The following is a 25,670-nucleotide window of genomic DNA, read 5'->3' as shown; positions in this document are numbered from 1 at the left end:
ATCCACCCACCTCAGCCTCCCAGAGTGCTGGGATTACAGGCGTGAGCCACCGCACCCAGCCAAAACAGCTTTTTTAAAAGCAGTGAGGATAGTAGCAAGTAGAGTGAATGCCCAATAAGTCCCTTCCTTTCACGGGCGATAACCATGAAGACACATTGGTGCCGTTTGTCACATTACTGTTTCTCTGATGGGACTCATTGTGAATGTGCCATTTGCTGCTGCTTTGAGCTTTGCATTTGTGAAACAGGCTGTGACAAAGGGTCCCTTAGATAGGGATTCTAGTTGTGCTTGACCACGGTCAGTCATGTGAGCATCAGTGAGTCTGGTTTCCATTGTAGCAGAGCAGCAGGCTTTGCCTCCTTCTGGACCTGCTTGGCACTGCACACTGCCACCAACAGTGGGGCCAGTGCTGGAACTGTGTGGCAGAGCCCAGACACTGTGTGTTGACACGTGAGGTCTCCCCCGCTTGGTGACGAAATCCTTAACTTGTTAAGAAGTTGTGCACCTAGTGGGTTACTCAGGAGTTCTAAAACGGTTCTGTGCCCTACTTTATGCCACCCAGACCAGAATAGTTCTAGGAGGCAAAGTGAGTAATATTTGGGTAAAGAGAGGTTAAAACCAGATGGGAGGATGAAGCTGGGCCTCCGTGGTGACTCAGGAGTGAAGTGAAAAGTGGCTAAATCATTGTCTGAGCCTTCGGGAACGTTGTTTTGCTAGAGCCATTCTGCTGGCACAGGAGCGCGTGTTCCTCTGAATGTAGTGGGGGAAAATGCGGAATCAGATTGACGAATCTATATCTTTTTTTCATTTAGAATTTTTAAATGGTATATAAATGTCATATGATGGTTATGGGAAAATAAGAAAATGTAGAAAAGCAAGAAATAAAGTCTCCCCAAATTCATCAGCTATAATCACCATTAACATTTCGTCATTATCCTTGAAGGCTTTTCTGATGCAAATAAATTTATGTAAATGGAGCTTACTCCTGCTATTACTGTGGAACTTGCTTTTGATGATCACCCTTCCATGTCATTATGTATAGAACTGCATCTGCATTTTAAGAGCCATTATCAATTATCGTTATCTGCACTGAATGCATGAGGAGATGCCAGGTATTTACCAGCCATGATCTGGGCAGATAAGTTAATGACTGTGTTTGCTTTACTTGAGAGAGAAACTTACCAGCTTGATAGAAGCACAGTAATAGGGGAAGATGCATAATTTCCTGTCCCCTTGTAGATGCAATACCTCTACAAAACAACTTACCAAATACATTAGTGAATGTCCATTTTTGTAAAGAAATCTTTACTTGAAAAAGTAATTTATCTTTATAAGAGTTTAAGTCAGTGTCCCACCACCTTCCTACTTGGATGTGGGCTGCATTTAGTGACTCACTTGCAAAAGGTATCTTATGGAAAGACAGGGACAAATAATTTTACAATGGAGTAGCCTGGCAAACACTACCTCCCTAGGTCACCAAGGTCACCATCAACAGTGGTAAGTCCTGTGGGTAGCTTGTACCCCGGCTATGAATGACTCTTCTGCAGGCTTCCTCTCCAAATCTATAACCCCAGTACAATTAGGGGAAAACATTAGAAAAATTCCAAATGAAGGACATTCTGCAAAATCCCTGACTGGTACCCAAAGCTGTCCAGGTCATCAAAAGCAGGGAAAGTCGGAGAAAAAAAAAAAAATCACAGACCGTAAGAGCCTTAGGGGACATGACAACTAAATGGAATGTGGTACCCTGGGTGGAATCCTGTACAGAAAAAGGACATTCCATTAAAAACTAAGGAAATCTGAATAAAGTATGGACATTAGTTAATAACATAACAGTATTGATTCGTTCATCATAACAAATGTACCAAAATAATGTAAGATGTTAACAACTGGGAAACTGGGAGATGGGTATAAGGGAACTCTGCTATTTACAGCTTTTCTAGAAATCTAAAAGAATTCTGAAATAAAAAGTTAAAAATTTTACAAATGTAAGTCATAAGTGCTCATATATTTAAAATTATGATCTATTTCTTTAAGACAAGAAGAAAGAATTTGTAAGTAGTTCCTATAAATAACAAAGCTTTATGTTGCTTTATTGAACGACCATAGAATTCTTGTAAGCAGCCAACTTCACTGTTTCTGGTAACTGCTCTCTTACCTAGCTCTTTGTAAACCCACCCTTTCCTCCAGTGCTAATTTTTATCATTAGTATTTTAACTGAAGAATAATATGTTGTATGTAAATCCTGCTAAATGAACAAATTGATTCTTCTAGAATTTGTGTAATAACCCTCTTACCTCTCTTGATACCAATTTAACCGTTTTTTGGCTGGGGAATTATCTTTCTGCCATTAGGTAAAAGTGTCCATCCATTTTAATTATAGTTGGAGGTCAACTCTTGGTAAATAGAGGTCTGTGAATGGCGGGCAAATGACATCACTTAAGGCAGAGTGCACACTGAGGTTCACATCCCAACTCAATTTGGGGCAAATCCTTGAACTACTTTGTGCCCTAGTCAATCATCTGTAAAATGGGATGATAATAATACAAATCCCCCCTGTAAAGGGCTTAGAGCAGTGCTTGTCAATAGCATGCCCCCCTGCTTCCCAGGGTTACTTAAATAAATGTGTAAGACTTTTCCCTCTAAAAAGAAACTATTGTTCACACCACTGCTACAGGCTTTAGAGGGCAATACTTTCTTTTAGTGGTTCAAAGATGAAGAGAGAAACAAGTAGAACCATATGGCAGAGAGGGCTGGGGAAAGGTGTCTGGTGAAGTCCATCACCCCATTCCAAACACACTCACTTAAGTGTCACTAATGTGACAGTTGTAGGCGGGCCTACACCTTTACATATCAAATGAACTTCACTGCTGAGTGATGCATGGCTGCATTTGCTTTGAATTTCATGCCTGGTAGCTGTTTTTTCCTTCTGATTTTATACAGTCATTGACGAAAATTAATAGGGAGTTGGACACTATTAAATTCATACGGGTGAACAGAGTGCCATCTAACAATAGTACTATTCTAAGATACACATTCCTCCCTCTGAAGACATAATCGGCTGAGTTCTTCACCTCTCTCCCTGGCCAGTATTGCCTCCCCAAACGGAGGTCCCGTCAAGTCCCACAGGCGCCCTTAATGGGGAGGAATTGCCCAGATACACATGAGATTCAGCACCAAGGGCTGTGGTCGCACGGGCTCCATGTGGCCGTCGGTGGAAAACACCGGGGCTTTCTCTCTTGCAGAGGTGCCGTATCTGGACAGTCACAGTTCCCATACACCACAGTGTTGCAGGAACCCACAAAGGGCTGTCTGTATGCTATTTCAAAACCTACTGACTCTCTGGCCCCAAAAAGTCTTCAGTCAGTTACTGGGGAAGAAGAACGAATGCCCTATTATTTCCCTGGGAAAAGGAATAAGACTTAATATTTCTTTACAGTTTGACTCACATGGCGTTTAACTGACAACACTTGTTGGCATTTTGCTGCTGGTACAGTAAGTTGGAAGTAAAGGTCTTTGGAGCATTAGTTCTTAAAGAATGTAGAAACTTAGTTTAAACACTTTGTATTTGTTTAGACCCAAAATTTATTTCACTATTTGTCCCACTTAATTAAAATAAAAGCTGGACAGCCATCCCGTTATCAGTGGGCTCCACCTCTCTTCTTTGAAGTGGTGAGGCCTTTCATACTTTCCTAGTGTTTTCTTCTTCCTTTTGAGCAAATACTAACCATACAGGTTATGAAAAGAAGCCTTTAATAATCTGCCTTCCTTCCTTCTTCAGTCTTTTCATTTTTCACTCTAGCTTTCCTTGAAATCATGTTTTTCAAGATACCGTTTTTATGTCAAGGATACATTTGTTGTCTCATCTTTAAGTTGTGTTCACTTTCCTGTATTAATTAATTTTTGTAATTTAAACCTTTGCATGAATTTTTTTAGCCTCAAGCTGCTTTCCGTGAGAGAACACTAGAGCCGGACTGTCTGGGTTTGCATCCTCACTGTCCCACCAGATTGTGACTTTGAGCGAGTCACTTAACCTTTCTGCCTCAGTGTTGTTTGTAAGAATAGTTGTGCCTCCTCATAAGTAGACAGGATGAACTGAGTTTATTTTTGTGAAAGATACTTAATATTATTGTCTTCACTGTAATGCCTTGGATTTTTCAAGCTTAGCAAATACCTTGGTTAAATTTGGGTCAAAAGAGCAAAAATTTACATGACAAAAATCTATGTTTTTCAAAACTTCCTGGTAAATTCGGTAATTTAATCCAGGAAACACTAACAAAGGTGTTTGATACTTCTTGAGGTTGTTGAGTTACTTTTTTTTTTTTGTCTTTCTGAGATGGAGTCTCGCTCTGTTGCCCAGGCTGGAGTGCAGTGGCACGATCTCGGCTCACTGCAACCTCAACCTCCCAGGTTCATGCACTTCTCGTGCCTCAGCCTCCCGAGTAGCTGGAACTACAGGCATGCGCCACCATGCCTGGCTAGTTCGTTTATTTTTAGTAGAGATGGGGTTCGCCATGTTGGCCAGGCTGGTCTTGAGCTCCTAACCTCAAGTGATCCACCTGCCTCGGCCTTCCAAAGTGCTGGGATTGCAGGTGTGAGCCACTGCTCCCGGCCTGTTGAATTACTCTTGTGGTTTTTTGTTGTTGTTGTTGTTGTTATTTTTTGTTTTGAGATGGAGTCTCACTCCATCTCATAGGCTGGAGTGCAGTGGCACAATCTTGGCTCACTGCAACCTCTGCCTCCTGGGTTCAAGCGATTCTCCTGCCTCAGCCTCCTGAGTAGCTGGGATTACAGACATGCACCACCACACTCAGCTTATTTATTAGTATTTTTTAGGTTTATTGTAGAGACTGGGCCTTGCAGTGATGCCCAGACTGATCTCAAACTCCTGGCCTCAAGCAATCCTTCTCCTTCTGCCTCCCAAAGTGCTGGGATTATAGGCCGGAGCCACTATGCCCTGCCCTCATTTACTTACTTATTGTCCCCTTTTCACTTTTTAAAAAATAACTCTAGAGTGTTCGAAAAAAGGGAAGTGATTTAAAATACACATAATTGTTTGGAGAGAAAGGTGAAAGAAGATACATCATAGATAGGAATTGAAAGAGCATTTAACTGCCTATGTAACCCAGATCAGCAGAGAGTAGGCAATTAAATGATCAACTAGTGGTTGAGAGAACAAAGAACCTTTAAAATGCATTTTATGGCAAAATAGCAAGCTAGCTTCTGCTGTGCATATTAACAAAGTAAAGGACTGGAAGGTACAGGTGCACAGTTGTTTGTGGCCTTGGTGTACTTATAAATGGTGCTGTGGTCACTGGATGCTAACAGCTTTGATAAATCCTGTAAGGCAGAGCAGTGAGTGAATGTCTTTTACGTACCTGGCCTCAGGAGGCCCTGCAGAGTTGTGATCCTTAACTGGTCAATTCATTAGTGAGTTACCACTTAAACCTCTCTTCTAAGATATCACCGTATCTAGAAACAGCTTTTGGGCTAGGGTCCAATGTACCACCCCTGCCCCCATTTTTTTTCCCTGTGAGCTAAAATTATTATTTATTTCTTTACTGAACAGTTACAATGCACCACAGAAATGCACTAAATCTCATCTTCATTTCCTGCACTGCGATCTTGTTAGCTGATTTTTTTTATCTTGCCCTGTTGTATTTGCATGATAGGTGGATTTTCATTCAGCTTCTCAACAGTCTTTTCATACCTTCTGTTCTGCCAAGGAAGGATTTCATTTGATTCACCCTTGAAGCAATTTTATGGAAATCTTCTGCCCGGAATAAGAACAGACTCTGGGTGGGTGAGGGTCTGAATGCACACAACCCTGGGAAGCCTTGCTCGTTGTCCTCTGCCCAAGATGGGAAGGGCCTCTTGCCATGCAGATAAACAAGGAGGTCTTTCCTGAAAGGGGGATGCAGGATATCATTTGAAAAGGGCAACTATTTCCCTCCTGGTGGTTATGGGAGGGGGCACAGTCTCTGTATGTCCTAATGGTATGTGGAGATGCCCTTTATAAAAGCTAGGCAGCGTCTTACATTATTGAATAGAAGATTTTGATTTCTTTGGAAACACATCCAGGTAACCTACTGTATTCTTTGGTGAAACCAAAAGCATTGTGAGCCCTTAGAAGATGGTTAGGAGGCATAAAAGCTGTGAGTCTGCAGGTGTGATGCTTGTAAACAGCAGGAACTTCATCTCTGTGTTCGCAATAAGAAAGTGGATGTCTGTGTGAGACAGAAAGAGGAAAATGGGTCTGTGACATAGATTGGCAAGGTAGGCATGAAGGGAATTTTTTTTTTAATTCACCTGCCATCTTTGATAAAAAGGGGAATATACAAATTTTAGATTCCCAAACTTTTAAAAGTATAATTTATGATAGAAATTACTCAGTGAAGTATATACACCACTTCTTAAAAAAGACTTCTGTGAGTGCAGTGTAACCTCTCAGGTGATTCTGGGTCAGCATTTTGAGATTAAAAGTGGGAATCACCTTCAGGCTGACCCATGAACTGTGCCGGAGTTTTGGGCTCAAAATCAAAATACTCGATGATGCAGTTTATTTTATGTGCGCTCTTTTGTTTTGATTTCTTTTTTTTGCCAGTAACATGCCTGCTGTCAACTATAATACCCCTCCCAGGTCAATGATGGTGTTATATGGATTAGATACATTAGGAGCCGGGAGGATTCTGAGGTTAAGAAAGGGTCTGTAACTAACCCAAGGTTAAGCACGTGATAAGTATCAAAGCCCAGATTAGGCAACCAGTAAGTAAGCTTTTTATAATTATAACATTGCACAGTAAATGGGTTTGAGACTGCTGGTTAAATAAGGCAAATTGAAAACATGTTATCTCTTCCCCTTCCAGAATACCAATAAAAATGACAGTGAAGGAATTTAAAAAATGGGCATAATGCCACAAAGTAAAAAAGCTCCAGGGAGAAGCAGCCGAAGGAAGGCAGGGTATATGAAAGCAGGTAGAAGAGCAAGACCACTCCTAGTAGATTGAGAGAGCCGGCCTCCTGCGTCCCCCATCATGGGTGGTCACGGGAAGAGGGTAGAGGCCATCAAGAAGTGAGTCAGGCCATGCCACAGAGCCAGGCACCCTTGGATAAGGGCTTAGGGGAGTGAAAACAGGGCTGGTTACATGCTTTATAAAAGGCCAGATTCTCTCTCCTCCCCCTGTAGCCAGTTTACTATTTGCCCCTCTCTCAGGTGGGAAATAAGATTTATTCTGGAGAAATGGAACAACAGGCCCAGCAAAGGGCAGGACTAAGGCACTTAACTAAAGTGGGTACTTAGTGAAAGTCAACACAATGAGGTGCTCAGCCCCACCCCATTATTTGGGCTCAATATTTCTAGACAGGAGACTGGAGGTGCCTTCCCTGGGACACTCACTGGCCCAAGAAGAAGATGCACCTGTCTTATGGCTGGACCCTGCCTGACCAGCCTAACAAGGCACAGCTCAGAGATGCGGTAGGGTCAGTGTCAGACCACATCAATATGATGAATATTGTAATAAAGTGAGTCGCACAATGTTTTTGGTTTCACGGTGCATATAAAAGTTGTTTATACTGTAGTCTACTATGCAGATAGTGCTATATCTAAAAGAACAGTGTACATATCTTAATGTAAATGCTTCATTGCATTAGCCGGGTGTGGTGGTGGGTGCCTGTAGTCCCAGCTACTCAGGAGGCTGAGGCAGGAGAACGTCGTGAACCTGGGAGGCAGAGCTTGCAGTGAGCCAAGATTGCGCCACTGCACTCCAGCCCGGGCGACAGAGCGAGACTCTGTCTCACAAAAAAAAAAAAAAAAAAAAAAATACTTCATTGCTAAAAAGTGCTAACAATCACCGAGCCTTCAGCAAGTCAACCTTTCTTCTGATGGAGGATCTTGCCTCCACATTGATGGCTGTTGGCTGATCAGGATGGTGGGTGTTGAAGGTTAGGGCGGCTGTGACAATTTATTAAAACAACAGTGAAGTTTGCCACATTGATTGAATCTTTTTTAGGAAAGATTTTTCCGTAACATACGATGCTATTTGATAGCATTTGACCCACAGTAGAACGTCTTTCAAAATTGGAAACTCTGCCACTGTTGAATCTACCAAGTTTATGCAATATTCTAAATTCTTTGTTGTTATTTCAACAACGTTCACAGCATCTTCACCAGGAGTGGATTCCATCAAAAGAAACCACTTTCTTTGCTCATCCATAAAAAGCAACTCCTCTTCTGTATAAGTTTGATCATGAGATTATAGCAATTCAATCAGATCTTCAGGCTCAATTTCTAATTCTAGTTCTCTTGCTATTTCTACCATATCTGCAATACTTCCTCCAGTGAACTCTTGAATCCCTCAGAGTCATCCACGAGGGTTGGAGCCACCTTCTAAATTTCTGTTAAGTTTATATTTTAACATCCTCTCATGAATCATAAACGTTCTTAATGGCATCTGGAATGATGAATCCCTTCCAGGCTTCCAATTTTATCTGCCCAAATCCATCAGATGAATCTCTATGTATGGCGGCTATAGCCTTACAAAATGTATTTCTTAAATAATAAGACTTAAAAGCCAGAAATACTCTGATTCATGGGCTACAGAATGAATGTGGTGTTAGCAGGCATGAAAACAACAGTAATCTCCTTATATATTTCTGTCAGAGCTCTTGGGTGATGAGATGCGTTGTCAATAAGCAGTAATATTTTGAAAGGAATGTTTTTTGTCTCAGAACTAGTACTCAACAGTGGGCTTAAAACAGTCAGTAAACCAGGGAGGCTGAGGCAGGAGAATGGCGTCAGCCCGGGAGGTGGAGTTTGCAGTGAGCCAAGATCGTGCCACTGTACTCCAGCCTGGGCAACAGAGCGAGACTCCGTCTCAAAAAAAAAAAAAGTCAGTAAACCATACTGTAAACAGATGTGCTGTCATCTAGGCTTTGTTCTGCTGTTAGAGCACAGGGAGAGTAGTTTGGCATAATTTTTAAGGGCCCTAGGGTTTTCCAAATGATCAATAAGCATTGGCTTCAACTTAAAGCCACCAGCTGTGTTAGCCACTAGCAAGAGTCAAGCCTATCCTTTGAAGCTTTGAAACTAGGCATTGACATCCTCTCTCTAGCTATGAAAATTCTGGATGGCATCTTCTTTTATTAGAAGGCTGTTTCATCTGTATTGAAAGTGTGTTGTTTATCGTAGCCACTGTCATCTGTTGTCTTACCTAAATAACTTGCTGGCTAACTTGGTATAGCTTCACTCCATCAGCACTTGCTACTTCACCTTGCACTTACCGCGTGGAGATAGCTTCTTACCTTAAACCTCATGAACCAGCCTCTGCTAGCTTCCAGTTTTTCTTCTGCACCTTCCTCACCTCTGTCAGCCTTCATAGAATTGAAGAGAGATAGGGCCTTGCTCTGGATTAGGCTTTTGCTTAAGGGAGTGTTGTAACTGCTTTTGTCTTCTATCCAGACCACTCTGACTTTCTTCATATCAGCAGTAAGGCTGTTTTGCTTCTTAATCGTGTGTTCTCTGAAGTGGCACTTTTACTTTCTTTCAAGAACTTTTTCTTTGCATTCACTACTTGGTTCACTGTTTGGTTCAAGAGGCCTAGCTTTCAGCCTGTCTCGGCTATTGACATGCCTTCCTCACTAAGCGTAATCGTTTTTAGCTTTTCATTTAGAGTGAAACAGGTGTGACTCTTCTTTCATTTTAACTCTTAGGGGCCATTGTAGGGTTATTATCTGGCCTAATTTCAATGTTACTGTGTCTCCAGGGAAAGTAGGGCAATTGATGAGTGTAATTTTTGTCTCTTTCCTATATTATTACCCCCACGGCACTAAAACATTTTGAAGCAGGCTATGTTTGTATCCCCAGTATTTATCAGTTTCTGGCACACAGTTGAGACATCCACTGTTCAACATTTGAATAAGTGAATTAAAGTGGATTAAGTATATTTGGAAGGCTAAATAATGGACTCCAGAGGTGTCCAGGTCCTAATCCCTGGAATTTGTGTACACTCCCTCATGGCAAAAGAGACTTTGCAGTTGTGGTTAAGTTAGGGATCTTGAGATAGGGAGATATCCTGGATTATCCAGGCGGGACCTGGCTGGGACCTAAATGCAATCACAGGTGTCCTTATAAGGAGGAAAACAGAGGGAAATTTGACTACAGAAGAGAAAGGCAATGTGACCACTGAAACAAGATGCTAGGCTGCTTGCTGTGAAGATGGAGGAAGGGCCATGAGCCAAGAAACGTAACGAATGTAGGTCTAGAAGCTGGAGAAGGCAAGGAAATGGATTTTTCCTCTAGAGCTGCCCAGGGGAATGCAGTCACTCCAGAACCTTGATTTTTGCTTATTGAAACTGACTTCTGAGCTCCAGAGCTGTGTGCAGTAAATGGAGTTGTTTTAAGCCAGAAGTTTTTAGAAATTTGGAAATTTGTTACAGCGGTAGGACATGATAGGTCTCTTGCCATGTAAGTTCCAATAGATATATAAGTTCTCAGTTTTATAAATACTTCAAGAAATTGTATTGCTCCGGTCACTGAGAGAAATGCCTGCTGCAGCCTCCAAGATGCTTCACACTGTCTTATCACTTCCTGGCATGAAATGAGCTACCTCCTTGTTTTTATTTCGATATTCCTGCTTGAGGTCAGATATAACCATTACTTTTGGACAATACCAGAGGAGTCTACTTTTAGGTCAGTGATTCAAGAACAGTTTATTACGCACCTGTCATTTATTAGGCACTACAACACTAGGGCCTTGGGATGCAAAATTGGAAGGATTTGGCCTTTTTGGAGGTGAGGGGAGTATTTCCAGTGGAAATGATGTTTGGATTGAGTCTTGAATCATGAGTAAGAAGAATGTCAAGTGAAGAAAAGTGGAAGACATTCCAGGCAGAGGGAGCAGGATTGGTTCCATGAACGGTGGAGTGTGCTTCCCTAGACCTTTGTGAGTCAGGGGATTTGTGAGAGAAGAGCCTGGAGGAAGCTTGGGATGATATCACTGAGGAATGTAAAGGAGAAGATGGGTAAGTAGTTGGAAAGATAGAAGATAGACATTCATATAAGTATAAAGACAGAGACAGAATCAAGCTGGAGTCTTGAGAAACACTCATGCTGTAAGGAGAGGCCAGAGGAGGAGCCATGCCAGACACCCAGAATGAAAGACCAGAAAGCAATCTCACCTGGAAGGGAGATGCCATAGTAGTGGAGGAGTAGAGGGCCCCAGCCAAGAAGTGAGTGGCCACTAGTGTCATATAGCAGACAGCTCTGGCAGGAGGAGACCTGGAAGATAGTTGAATTTGGCAACAAGACCTTGAGTGGAGCTATAGCATGGCAGAAAGTTTGATGCAGATTGAGGATTAAATAGTAATTAAGGAAACAGTAATGAGAGAGAAGGATGATGACTTGAGGAATAGGTACTGTCCCCACTGACAGGCTGTGGGGGAGTGAAATGGTCATGGCGTCTGTCTGTGCAGAAGGCCCCGGTCCATTTGCAAGGACCACTGGCCCTTCCCCCCATCGACTCTGCCTCCCTCCAGTTTTTAAAACTGAAGGTATATTTTATGTACAGTAAAATTGACTTTTCTAAAATGTGCACTTCTGAGAGTTTTGAGAAGTAAATATGGTGTTACCATTGCCACAATCAGTGTAGAATAGCTTTGTGACCTCAGAACGTTCTCCCATGCCTCCTCTGTAGTTGGCCCTTTGCTCTCCCTTCCAGCCCCTGGCAGCCATGGCTCTGTTTTCTGTCCTTGTGGCACCTGCTGAGTATGAGAGCAGTACACATATGATCATTTTATGTTGTCATGTATTAGAATTAGTGATTTGATTTTCTTAATCTGGGGCTCTCTATCTTACCATAAAAGGTAGTTTTATGTATTTACTTTTGTACTCCCTACAATAATTTGAAATTCTTTTGGATCTTGTTATGGGGCTCATCAAATACCAAATATAGAATTGAGTATTTTTGCAAGTAACTTTTTGAAATGTGTTATAAGAAGGAAGCTTTTGTCTTATGACTGTTGTATTTTTGTGTGCTTTGTTAATATTTTTCTTAATGCATTTGGCTTATGATGCATTTGGCCCATTGAGGGAAAAACGAAAGTTATTGTCAGCATGGTTAACTAACTGCAACTGAGAGTATTCCAAAATGATTTAGTTTTAAGTTTAAAAATGCATTTTCCATTGGATCTACTGCCATGGGTCCAGTAATCACTAATGCCAGCTTAATATAGTGACAGTATACTACTTAGTTTAGTAGTCTGAAGTAGACAATTAACTTTTAGTCTTTCATTGAATATCTTTTTTTTTTTTTTTGCCTGCTTCTGGATCAGCTCTTCTTAAAACCAGATCTTTGTTTATGTATGCTTAATGTCACTGGAGCTTTTTATGTTTGTAATAGTTACCTTAGCCATTATCAGTACACAATACAGCCATGCATCGCTTAAGAACAGAGATATGTTCTGAGAAATGTATCCTTAGGCAATTTCATCATTGTGCAAATGCTGTAGAGTGTGCTTACAGAAACCTAGATGGGATAGCCTGTACGTCTGTGGTATTGCATATTACTCCTAGGCTACAAACCTGCACAGCATGTTACTGTACTGAATACTGTAGGCAGTTGTAACACAGTGGTAAGTATTTTTGTATCTAAACATAGAAAAGGTATAGTAAAAATACTGTATGAAAGATCAAAAGTGGTACACCTGTATAGGGCACTTACCATGAATGGAGCTTGCAGGACTGACTAAAATCCGCTCTGCGTGAGTCAGTGATTGAGTAGTGAGTTAATGTAGGACATTATGCTACTGCAGACTTTATAAACACTTTACATTAGGCAACACTACGTTTATAAAAAAATTTACTTAATAATTAACCTTAGCTTACAGTAACTTTTCTACTTTATAACTTTATTTTTTTAACTTTTTTACTCTTTTGTAATAACATTTAGCTTAATGCACACATTGTACAATTGTACAAAAATGCTTTCTTTGTATCTATTATTTCTCATTCTGTAAGCTTTTTTCTACTTAAAAGAATTTACTTTTCTGAACTTTTTTTTGGCTTTGAGTAATATGTTGGATTCCCATGTAATGACATCTGTAACATCACTAGACAATAGTAGTTTTTCAGCCTCATGATAATCTCATGGGACCACCATTGGTATATGTGTTGCGTCGCTGACCAAAGCAGCATTATGCAGCATAAGGGATTTATTACCCACTAAAACAAATAGGCTAGTTTCCTTTTGTGCAAGTCTAGGACTATATACCATATCAATAATTCACCTTTCATCTTTTTTTTTTTTTTTTTGAGACGGAGTCTTGCTCTGTCACCCAGGCTGGAGTGCAGTGGGGTGATCTCGGCTCGATGCAAGCTCCACCTCCCAGGTTCACGCCATTCTCCTGCCTCAGCCTCCCGAGTAGCTGGGACTATAGGCACCTGCCACCACACCTGGCTAATTTTTTTTGTATTTTTAGTAGAGCCGGGATTTCACCATGTTAGCCAGAATGGTCTCGATCTCCTAACCTCGTGATCCGCCCGCCTCGGCCTCCCAAAGTGCTGGGATTACAGGCGTGAGCCACCGTGCCCGGCCCCCACCTTTCATCTTTTAAAATAGTTTACTTGCTGCTTCTACCCCTGACTCTAAAGGGAAATAATGTCAGTACTAATCCCATTTGGTTGCAAACAGCAAATAGGTAAATGATTTGCCTTTTGAAGGTCTAGCCAGTATTCATTAGTGGCTTTGGATAGTGTGTGTTCTGAGTGATTCAGGTGCTGTTTTCCTTTGCTGATCTCTTTCTGTTTTCTACTTTCTCAGCAACGTTTCTTATTCCTTCAGAAATCATTGTGGCAAGCATTGGCATAACCAAAAGCCTTTGGAATACCTATAGGTTTCCTTCAAGTTTGCAGATGTTCCCTGTATTATGTTTCTTTGTAGCCAAAACCTTAAGTCAGGGTGAAAAAAAATCGATTTTTTGAGGCTACACCTGGGAGAATGGACCTGGCAGCAGTTCATTAAGAAATAAATGAATAACACCTGGAGGTTTGCGTTTACCACCTGCTCACATGAATGATTGGTGTGATGGGGCTGCTAAAAATAGATAAATTTTTAAGCTGCATTAATAAGCATTTGGGTAATTGTTCCCACTATTTTGTGTATTGGACCATATCTTGAATGTTGTGTTAAGTTCGGGTCATTTCAGAGGAAACATTTAAAAAGTTTGAAAGTTGCAATGAGATACTTTGGCTGCTTTTAACAGAGCTCACAGACAAGAAACCAGCAGTCTAAAGGGAGTTGCTCACAGAGCAGTAAGCTTCATGTCATTTGAAGGGTTCAGAATAGAGTATTTGCTTCATAAGTAGCGGCTATTTTCTGGAATGTTCTCCCCATGTTCCCATGGCTGAAACAATGCCCACACATAGTGATTGCACATACGAGGAAGAGACAAATGTGACCATCTCTTAGGAAAGATGTCCTGGAGGGATCCGTGTGTTAGATGGACAGTATGGCCTCAGGTGCCACCCTTTCCATGTAGATGGACCAGTGATTTTATGTGAAAGCAATGATTAGCTGATGACATTTTAAACCAAGTTATAGGATTTGTGGATAAAATTTGACTTTAGAAACTAACTGACCTTTTGTGTATTTTCTGTTGCTAAATTGTGCCCTGGACTTTATGAACATTATAAGCTTTATAAACATTATGCTGTTTTAGCGACATTGTAATGAAAAGGCGATCTTAGCTACACCACTGATCACCAAGATTAATCTGGCTGGCTTGTGTGGCTACTTAGGTCATCTCTGGTGCCCTCATTCGGTAAAAGATGATGACTTTCCCAGACGGAGGGAAACTGTTTTCAATATTGATTCTACAAGTAGCCATGTTCCTCTTTTGACAGTTTCTAAGAATGACAATACCTCTTTCTGATGATGCTATTCACATGATCACAAAATAACAATTTTGGGTTAGGGAGGCTTTTGCTGTTCATGAACTAGTGAAAAGCAGAATGAGAGGAGGAAGTAATTGAAAATGAGATGTAGGCGTGCATCCGAACTGGAAACCAGAAGACTTGATGAAACAGATACAAGGAAATCACTGTGTATGAGCTATGTGGTATTTCTTCAGAGATTTGATACACAAACTGAGAGATATCCATCCTGCTCTTTGTTCCTTTTTCATTCTTTTGATGCCACCCTCTCTCTTCCATTATAGAGCACCAAAACTACTTTGGAATAGATGAAAACCTTGGTCCAGTAGCAGTCAGCATCCGGAGAGAGAAGGTGGAAGATGCCAAGGAGAAAGAAGGATCCCAGTTCAACTACAGGGTGGCTTTCAGGACAAGTGAGGTAATGGGGCTGCTTGCCGTAGTTATTGGGCTAAAGTCTAAACCTCCTTTGGTGTTACTGCTTCAGTTTGTTTTAGATAGGGTACTGAATTTATTTTTTTTTAATGTTAATGATTGCAACATTTAAGATAATTAAAAAGGGCATTGCAGTATTTTATTCTAAATGAAAAATTTGGAAACATGCCATGGATATTAAGTGGCTGTATTAGTTCATTCTCACACTACTATAAAGAACCACCTGAGACTGGGTAATTTATGAAGAAAAGGTTTAATTGACTCACAGTTCCGCAGGCTTAACAAGAAACCTGACTGGGAGGCCTCAAGAAACTTACAATCATGACGGAAGGTGAAGTGGAAGCAAGCACATCTTATCATGGTGGACCAGGACAGAGAGAGAGTAAAGGGGGAAGGGCCACACACTTTTAAACCATCAGATCTTGTGAGAACTCACTCACTGTCATGAGAACAGCAAGGGGAAAATTCAACCTCTGTGATCCAATCACCCCTACGAGGCCTCTTCTCCAATTTGACATGAGATTTGGGCAGGGACACAAATCTAACCCATATCATTTTGCCCCCGGCCCCTCCCAAATTTTATTTCCTTCTCACATTGCAACAATTATTCCTTCTCAGCAGTCCCCTAGTCTTAACTCACTCCAGCATTAACTCAGAAGTCCACAGAACAAAGTCTCATCTGAGACAAAGCAAGTCCCTTCCGTTGATGAGCCTGTAAAATCAACAACAGGTTAGTTACTTCCAAGATGCAGTGGGGGTACAGGGATGGGTAAATGTTCCTGTTCCAAATGGGAGAAATTGGCCAAAACGAAGAGGCTACAGGCCCCATGCAAGTCCAAAACTCAGCAGGACAGTCATTACTACCCACGCTTTGTTACATTGAGGACCCAGGTTAGATTCTTGCTTGTCTTGCTTTTAGTGGAAAGTGAGATTCTTGTATAAATTATACAACATGTATAGCTAAATAGGTAGATATTGATTTATATAAAGAATTAAGTCTGAAGCTGGGCATGGTGACACATGCCTATTGTCCCAGCTACTCAGGAGGCTGGGGTGAGAGCATGGCTTGAGCTCAGGAGTTGAGGCTGTAGGGCAGTATGGTTACACCTGTGAATAGGCCCTGCACTCCAGCCTGGGCAATATAGCAAGACCCTATCTCTTAAAAAAGAAAAGAATTAGATCTGTCCAGCACTTTAGGTTTTATCCTTTTAGCTCATTTTAATTAGAGGGATATATATTTGGGAGATATTCCAGAATATGTATTTTGGTTAACTGCTTCTAGATCAGAGAAAACACAGAGCCCTTTTCTAGTTTCCAGCTGCATGAACATGTGTACCCCTGTTCATCTTATCTAGTACGTAGGTGTCCCAGTGACCTAGGCTCTATTCTAGGTATAAGTGAGATAAAGCCCCTCTCCTAAAGTGACATATTTTAAGTTATAGACCTATGCTGTTCAGTTCAGTAGTCACTAGCCACAGGTGGCTACTTAAATTAAATTTAAATACTTAATTTAATTTAAATGTTAAATTTAAAATAACTGAACAAAATTAGAAATCCTTTTCCTTAGTGACATTAGTGATTTCGAGTGTTTAATAGTTGATGTGGCTAGGGGCTCCTGTATTAGTATAGATAGAGAACATTGTCCTCGTTGCAGATAGTTCTGTTGTCCAGTGTTATGGAACATTATGCAAACGTTAGGTATCCTTATGACTGCCATCACCCCAGCTCCTGGTGTTAGTAGTCTAAGGACTCTTACCAGAGTCAGAGAGAGGTTGGATTAGAACCAGTTCTCTTGATTTATGGTTCTGGGGTTTTCTCTCTCATCATATTAGATCTTAGGCACGTGCTCCAAATATTCATTGCATGTTTCTGTGGTGAATTTGAGGACATCTAAAAAGTCATGAGACAAAATTTAGTGGCAATTTTCTCAGCCCTGAATCACCCTGCCCATGGATACCACTGGCTGCTGCTCCCCTGTTCAGCCTCGGGAATGGTCATTATGGAAAATTAAATGTAAGATAAGAAAGGGAGTGGAAGAAAAGAAGATGGAGAGATGGGAGAAAGGGAGGATGGAAGAAGGGTGATCATGGTCAGGTCCAGGATCATCATGTCTGGTTTCCTCTCTGTGTGAACCTTCTCATGTGGGTTCAGAGTTGTAGGAATGTCCTAATTTTCATAGCATTGCTCTGCCTTGCTTCTTCTCATTCTTAGGCATACATCTGCTCATTTCCATTCCGCCTGGCTTGTTCCTGATCTTTGTATACTGTTACTGTTTAAAGACTCCTTGAGTGTTGATTTTGTTTCCTTAAATGGAACACTGTCGCCCCTTTCACTACACTCAGAAAGAGCCTTGCTTCTCTTTTTCCTGTCTTAAGGCAGCCAAACAGTTAGGCTGTGAGTAGGTAATTGAGAATCAATATTAACCGAAGTCTTATGTTTTGTCACTGCAGCTTACAACACTGAGAGGAGCAATTTTAGAAGATGCTATACCCTCTACTGCTAGGCATGGTACCGCACGAGGACTACCTCTCAAAGAAGTTTTGGAATACGTCATTCCAGAGCTGAGCATTCAGTGTTTGCGACAGGCTTCCAACTCACCCAAGGTCTCAGAGCAGCTGCTCAAGCTTGATGAACAAGGGGTGTGTATAATGTGAGATTGTATGTTTGTGTGTGAATTTGTGTCTGTTTCTGAAAGTTTTGGAGTTTTCCCATCCATCTTTCTTGTAAGATCATTTATTTTAAATGCCTTAGAACATTTTCTCTTTAGTTTTTCCCAAATATGTTTTTATACTAGTTTGGAAACATGATGCCATTATAGTATAACACACCTCCTGCTGAGTTGTGATTTTTTTTTGTTATTACCAAGGTTTTGGTGTGTCCCAGCTTGCAAGAGTGCATCTGATTGCATGATTAATAGAAGTCAATAGTAGTTTTTTTCCAGGGTTTAAAAATCTCTTATGGCCCTTTTCCTGAACCAACATTTATTCTTGTCTACTATGTGGAAGGCATCATGCTGACAGATGGGTGTGAACAGCAAGCGTTAGGAAGATTGAAGCTGACTAAGACCTAGTCCCTGGCCTATGAGGACAGTAAGACTAAGAGCAGAAAGGCCTCTCCAAGGCAGAATCTGGTAAGAGATCTTGGAGAGGTGTAAATGTAGTGAGTACCTTGGGGAAAGAAGAAATAACATCTGGCTGGGCAACTCTCCTGAAGAGGTGGCATTTTAACTAGGCCTTTGGACTTGGATAGAATTCTAAGAGGGAGACATGAGTAGTTGCTGTTTTAGGAACTATGACTAGTTTCTTTACAAAGAGAAGAGAGGTGGTGAGGTGGGGTGGGGTAGGGGAAGTAAGACGAGACTAGAACAAATGAGACCTGGTATGCTAGGCCAAGGAGATTGCCCTTGATTCAGGAGGCAGTGGGGAGCCATTGAAGGTTTTCCATTAGGATGTGACGTGATCAGAGCTGTATTTTAGGAAGATTATTCTGGTAGAAGGGAATTGTACAGGCCGCCGAAGATAGAGACTGATGGCTATGTGGAGATCAATTATGTGATTATTGACATTGTCCAGGAGAGAGTTAATGATGAACAGGATTGAGATGGTGGTTCAGAATATGGAAAAAAGGTCTTTAAGTTTCAGGTGCAAAATAACTCATAGAGGAAACTGAGCAGTACATGCTCAAGTGCATGCAACTTATTTTAAACCAGTGGATTTGTTTGTAAAGCCATGATTTTAAAAAGACAGTGACAATGTATATTTTTAGAATTTCCCAAGTAGGATTCTTCTGCATGTTTTAGAGGGAATATGAGGTATTTCTTGGTTGACCAAATAATACTGTGGTTAAAGTTGAATATTTGGCACCGCAGATGGCTAGAATTCTAAAAGTGATGAAACTAATTGGTCTAACAAGTTAACACTGCATTATTAGCAAAAAGAAGCAGATATTGTAACACTCAGAATGAATAATCTTGAGATCTGTCTCAGGAATGAAAGCTGACATATTAAAAAAAAAAAACCATACTCTAAACTTGAGCAGGTGACTTTTAAATTGCGTAATACACAGAATAGGTTTACCATTATGACTGGTAAAGTATGTGGAATATATGAAATGTTCATGAAACATATATATGAACAATATATGAAGTGTTCATGAAACAGTTGATGAAAACATGTTATGGCGGGATAGAGAGGATACATCGGGGTGGGTTGAAAGTGCTTAAAGTTCAGGCAGGCTTGATGAGAAGAATAGCATTCATTTGCATGTTGTAAGAGAGTTGGTGAAAAGAACTTGCCACCCATGTGGTAGGTAGTTCTTGATCCCTTTGTAGGATATGTCAGTTCTCCCTTTAAAATATATCACTGTACTACAGAGCAGGTGCCTGGTGGATGAAGCTCTCATTTGGTCCCCCGAGGCTGCTCTAGAAAGTTTTACAGATGGTTCATGTTCCCCAGAAGCCCTCAGGGCTCTGCCACTGCCACCATTTAGGGCTTCTTTTACCGAGCAGTGAAAAGAGACATCATGGCAGCTACAAGTTGACTGATGTAACCATCAGTCTCTATCCTCATCAGCCTATTTTAGGCATCAGTGAATGTGGCTACCTTTCTTCTACTAGAAGAATCTTCCTAAAATATAGCTCTGATCTGCCACATCCTAATGGAAAACTTTTGATGGCCCCCTATTGTCTTCTGAATCAAGTGCAAGCTCCTTTCGAATGTCTTTGTAGTCAGATAGATCTAGAAGCTATCCGAGGCAGTTCTAAAAACCAGGCATTTTAAGTATTTTTGCTGAACACCTATTTACAGTCTGATGTCAATGAATGTATTTAGAAAATGGGATTCTGCTTTGATAAAACCACGCATTTCGTATCTCTAGTAGTAGTTCATGGGCTTTTCTTTAGATTTTATATTTGTTTGACTTTGGTATACTTTCTTAACGATGTTCAAACTTAAGCACACTGTGCCATTTTAACTCCCTAAAACTCTTAATGGTATCAGATTCCCATTGTACATGAGGAAAACATACTGTTTATGTTCATCTTTAAAAGAGATTGGGCAACTTTTTTAACATCCCAGTTTCCAAAGAATCCTTACAAATCGCCACTAACCTGTTAGGGTGGTGGAGAGTTTATTCCAAGCGGTGCTGTTTCTTTATTCATTTTCCTAATAGTAAATCTTCCCAGGAAGGGATGGGGCAATTTTGTTATTGGTCTAAGGGTTTGTTAATCTTGAAATTATATTTAAAATACAACCTAATAATGGGCTGGGCGCGGTAGCTCATGCCTGTAATCTCAGCACTTTGGAAGGCCAAGGTGGGTGGATCATTTGAGGTCAAGAGTTCAAGACCAGCCTGGCCAGCATGGTGAAAACCCATCTCTACTAAGTATACAAAAATTAGCCAGGTGTGATGGTGGGCACCTGTAATCTCAGCTACTAGGGAGGCTGAGGCAGGAGAATCACTTGAACCGGGAGGCAGAGGTTGCAGTGAGCCAAGATCGCACCACTGCACTCCAGCCTGGGCGACAGAGTGAGACTCTGTCTCAAAAAAATATGTGTGCGTGTGTGTGTGTGTGTGTGTGTGTGTGTGTGTGTGTAACCTAATTACATATATTGTTAGTTTCCGCTCTTTTGTAGTTTGCAGTCCATCCTGGTTTGTCATGTAACCACTGAGTATATGTACTCTGTACAAGACACTTTTCAGAAGTAGGAGATACTGTGGGTGTTTAGATCATTCCTTCTGTTCCTTCAGTTTGGTTAGATGTTTTGAGAAGGAAGAGTCAAACACTGTGGAGAATTTTCAGGAAAGTAATTATTAAACAAGACGTTTTGCTACTTTATCTACATAATTTCACGTCTGCAGTTCTAAAATCCCATTTTTCCTTTTTAAAAAGGCTATCCCAATGTATTTAATAGGTAAACTCATAAAATTATAGAGGATGACTGTAAACAAAGTGTTATTTAGACGAATTATGACAGCTCACTATCTTAGAATATTATGAAATCCTTAACAGAGTTATTCATTGGTTCTTAAGGCCAACTGCCCCATTCCCCTCTTGTCCTCTCACCCCAGATATATATGTTTACTCAAATATCAGATTTGTTTCAACCGAAGTCAAGCAGGTCTAAATAAATGAGATTACATGCTTAGAACAAGTAGTCTGAGTCAGGAGAATGGAGGGGAAGGGATTTATTGCACACTCAAAGATATGCTCGAGACAATTCTGAGGCTTTGTTTTCTTCTCACCTTCATTTGAATGTAAATTTTCTTGTCAATAATAACAAAGCTTCTGGCCTTGGAAATAGAGCAGCCAGTTTTTATCCTGTCTCAGAAAGAAAATGGGACGTGGGTTGGATCCTCTGCTGTCTGGGCAGTATGTATGTGTGTCCAGCTGTCAGCACTGAAGCCATAGGGAATTTTGACAAGTGGATATTTTTAGTTTGCAGCAGTGCTTATGTCCAAATGCAAGCCTAGTTCTATCCCAGGACTGTGGGACTGGCACAGCTCTTATCAAACAGTTAAATAAAGGTTGCTGCAATAGACTTAAATGTTAGGCTTAGCTTGAGATTTAATGAAGCCTTGGTCTGAGAGAATGAGGAATGTTAAGTGTATGGAATCTGGAGTCCCTCCTTTACTTTATATTATGATGGAGCTGAAGAAGTATGTTGCTAGCCTTCTGATATACCCCGGGAGTATTTAGTTGATACCACATTTCAGTTGTTTTCCAGGTTTCTGAAAGAGACTCTGGTGAGAGAGATATCTTTACTGAACATTTCATTCTGTTTCATTATTCATTTCATTCTTGTTTTACTGGAATCAGCCCTTGTTGTAAACAAGCCACAATTCTTTACTCTGAGTCACTGGAGAGATTTCTGTCTCCTAAGTTTCACCTGGCAAACTGATCAAAAGTAGGCATGACTGGCAAATACCTGTGAGTGGTAAACTTGTGTCACTCCATGTGTGTAGCAAGGTGTTTTCTTTGGAGCCAGAGTATGGCAGCTGTCCTAAGACATCTGAGGGCCTTGAAATCTGCTTTAGTCACATCCACTGATTCCCATGGGCCCAGGAGCTTCTTAGATGGAAATGCAAATCCTGTTCTAGATCCTGTTAGGATCTAGACACAGGCTGGTGTGTCCGATGGCTGGGAAGAGAGGGGTGTGAAGTTGACAGTACAACAGTCAGCAATGAGGTCTCATGAAATTTCAGTTGTCCAGTTGTTTGGCCTTTGCCTGAATGAGAGTTCACAAGAAATAGCAAGCCCACAAGGCTCTCCGAGTCAGAGAGGAAGTGAGCCAGGCTGGTGACGGCTCTGCTTGACATACCATGCACACCCTCGGCTCCCAAACAGCTCTACTCCAGGACTCCTCATTTAAGAGCTGGATGGGAGGAGAGGAAGGGGTTTCCTCTTGCAGATGCCAGAGCAGACTGAGGCAAGCTGCCTTTGCGTGCTGGGGCAATGGAGACAAAGATGGCCTTCAGATGATGTGGCACATGGCACTGGCAATGGTCTCAGGTGAGCAGGAGGTAAAGGAATAGAGGATGGGCGAACAGGGACAGCAGCCACCAGAGCAGAGTGACCTCCGAGGATGAGGATGATGGTGCAGCAATTCTACTGGGTGCAGAGGAAGCAGTGGACACTGAGATGCACAGGCACTGGAGTGAGTTAGTATTCTTCGGTATTAACGGTGGACTCTAATTACAGCCAGGGCCAAATAACCAGGGAGCTGAAATCCTCTTCTCACAGTGAAAGAGAAGTCAACTAACATCGTTGTCCATGATGGGAAGTGGTCATTTTCAGGCCACATTTTAGTATTCATATAGATTCCAACAATCACAGATGTCACGAACATCTGTGTAATAATTGGTGATCATAATAGTTTCTCTAATGCACTTTAAGACCCTGAAATGTCTTCTGAGTCACTCAGGAGCAAATAATGTTTACAATAAAATGAGGTTAGGCATTTTTATTGTACTTAATATTTTTTTGAAGATGATTGTCTATTCTCAGTAAATGTGGTATCTCATTGACTTAGATAATTGAGTTGATCAGAAACATTGATTCCTCAATCTCTGGGTGAATACAAATTTTTCTTCTTGACCCTACTAAAGTAGTAGCTCAATAAATTCATAATGTTAGGTATTGAGTAGTGTATGCACACCATCTCATATCCCCACACTCAAGGTACAGATCATTTTTCTCGCTATGCAGTTGGGGATCTCCTGGCCTTGACAGGGTCCCAAGGCCCATGAACTGCAATGCCATAGCATCCATCGGTATAGGTAGCTGATTCAGTCAGATTGTAAACAGGTGATATTTCCTTTTATAGCCTTCTCATAGCACTTAGTCAAGATCGGAATGCATTCAGAATATATGGGTAGTTGACTCTACCTGCTCAACTCTAAGTTTATCCAGCATGTGGTAAATGTTTCCTGATGTCTGCTGAGGTCACCCAGGCAGACGTTGCATGCCTTTCTTGCATAGTATGTTGTCATTAGGTAATAATATGGATGAGACTGCTGTCATCACTTTGCTGCTCAAGGGAAATGAGTATCATTTTGCCTTATTTTACTAAGATAGCTATGAATTTTGATTAAAGGTTCTGTTTTACAGCTTGATAATAAAAGTGAACAGTGTTGTGGATTGATGTCTTTAGAGAATTGGCGATGTCTGATAATCTGTCAGCCTTTCAGGCTCAGATTGCTGGTAGTAAGATTAAGAGCTCTGATTGCATGAGTTAGAAGCAGTTCCTCTTTGGGGGACATAAGAAAGGTGTGAAAATGCCTCCAGTTTCTTACTGGCCTTGGGAGGAAGTCCCATGGCTTCCAACATGAACCTGGCATTGACTGTAAGATAGGATTACAGCAGGAGCTCCTCAATTGCTATTGGATTCTTTGTGGTACACTGTATATTTAGCAGATGTTTTCAAGATAGTAAAAAATGTAACAAATGAATGTAATCGTAAGCCAGAGTTACTTTTTTATGGCAACAAAACATTTTAATGTTTGTATACATATATCATAATTTCCATTGGAATCCTACCCTTACCAGACCTTAATTTGATTTGTTTTTTCCTTATAGTCTTACATATTTACAAGAAATATATAAAATTCAGATAAAGAAATAAAAGGTATTACTACAGAGAAAAACTTAAAGGTTTGTAGCCTTTTTTTCTTTCCGACTTAGAAGATTACCCTAATTACTATATGAAGTGTGTAAGATGAAGTATTTCCACAGTTCTATTTTTAAGTAGATACTTGAACCTTGACTTCCTATCCTTTTTGGAAACCTGGCAAATCCCAAATGGCCACAGCCATACATTTAATTTGTTAGGGTTTCTGACATGTCTCCAGCTGTATTCTGGGGTTTCTGGGTTATTATTTGTAGCATCTTTCACAGTGGCAGTTGCCTACTCTTTTGCTTATTCACTTATGGGAATTGTTCTGGCATGCTTTCCTAGAACAATTCTCAGCTTCTGTAGTTTTAATTTTACTGGAAGTTAGCTTGTCTGATATGCTTTGCCAAGTAATTATATTTCTCCCCCATTTCAGCTGAGCTTTCAGCACAAGATCGGGATCCTTTATTGCAAAGCAGGCCAGAGCACAGAGGAAGAGATGTATAACAATGAGACGGCGGGACCAGCTTTTGAAGAATTCCTTGATCTTCTGGGCCAGAGAGTCCGACTGAAAGGATTTAGTAAATATCGAGCTCAGCTAGACAATAAGAGTAAGTTTAATGTTTGTGTGTGTGCACATTTTTAATTCTCCAAAGGTAGGCATGCTTCATAAATCCAAGTAAGTGATCACATGCCCTCCTGTTCCCGGCCCCAGAAGCAGCCTAGAAAGCTTATTTGGAATAGAGTTTAGATTTCCTCAGATGAACAAAGGAAACACATTTCTCAAGAGGTATGTGCTTCACCTTGTAAGCTCAAAGGGTCAATTCTTTTTCCTTTGTAACACCAGCAGAGAGATTCCCCAGTGTTTCATGAAGAATTGTTTAATATTTTCTTCTTTCTTTTACCCTAACCTCTTCTATTACACCCTTGTTTCAGTATACCAAGGACAAGCACTGCATTTATTTCTAAGAGACAAAATATTAACACATCCATTCATGCTGTGTTATTGGGCTTATTTTGTTCATTTCCAGATTCATGATGTTAACCAGGGAGGTGGAACAGTGATTAAAAAGCGAATGCATCTTCACACAATATCCCCTTATAACAGACTTGCACATGTACCCCCTGGATCTAAAATTAAAAAAAAAAAAAAGCTGATGCATCTTATTTTTCAAGGATTTTATTTAGATCCCCTTGAGTGG

The 25,670-nt window shown here is 40.8% G+C and overlaps 1 protein-coding gene across 11 annotated transcripts in view; it reads left to right on the top strand.

The window, feature by feature from the left end:
* SIPA1L2 (signal induced proliferation associated 1 like 2) overlaps positions 1–25,670 on the top strand; it is a 232,532-nt gene that overhangs the window by 121,626 nt on the left and 85,236 nt on the right. For all 11 annotated transcript variants that reach the window (NM_001377488.1, XM_017001896.2, XM_047426142.1 and 8 more), the window contains 3 exons: positions 15,211–15,344; positions 17,809–17,997; positions 24,905–25,079. In NM_001377488.1, coding sequence (NP_001364417.1) covers positions 15,211–15,344; positions 17,809–17,997; positions 24,905–25,079 — 498 coding nt within the window. The remainder of the gene's footprint in view (positions 1–15,210; positions 15,345–17,808; positions 17,998–24,904; positions 25,080–25,670) is intronic.

Source organism: Homo sapiens, chromosome 1 (genome assembly GCF_000001405.40).
Source record: "Homo sapiens chromosome 1, GRCh38.p14 Primary Assembly".
Classification (NCBI taxonomy): domain Eukaryota; kingdom Metazoa; phylum Chordata; class Mammalia; order Primates; family Hominidae; genus Homo; species Homo sapiens.
This window is presented reverse-complemented; position numbering and strand designations above follow the sequence as displayed.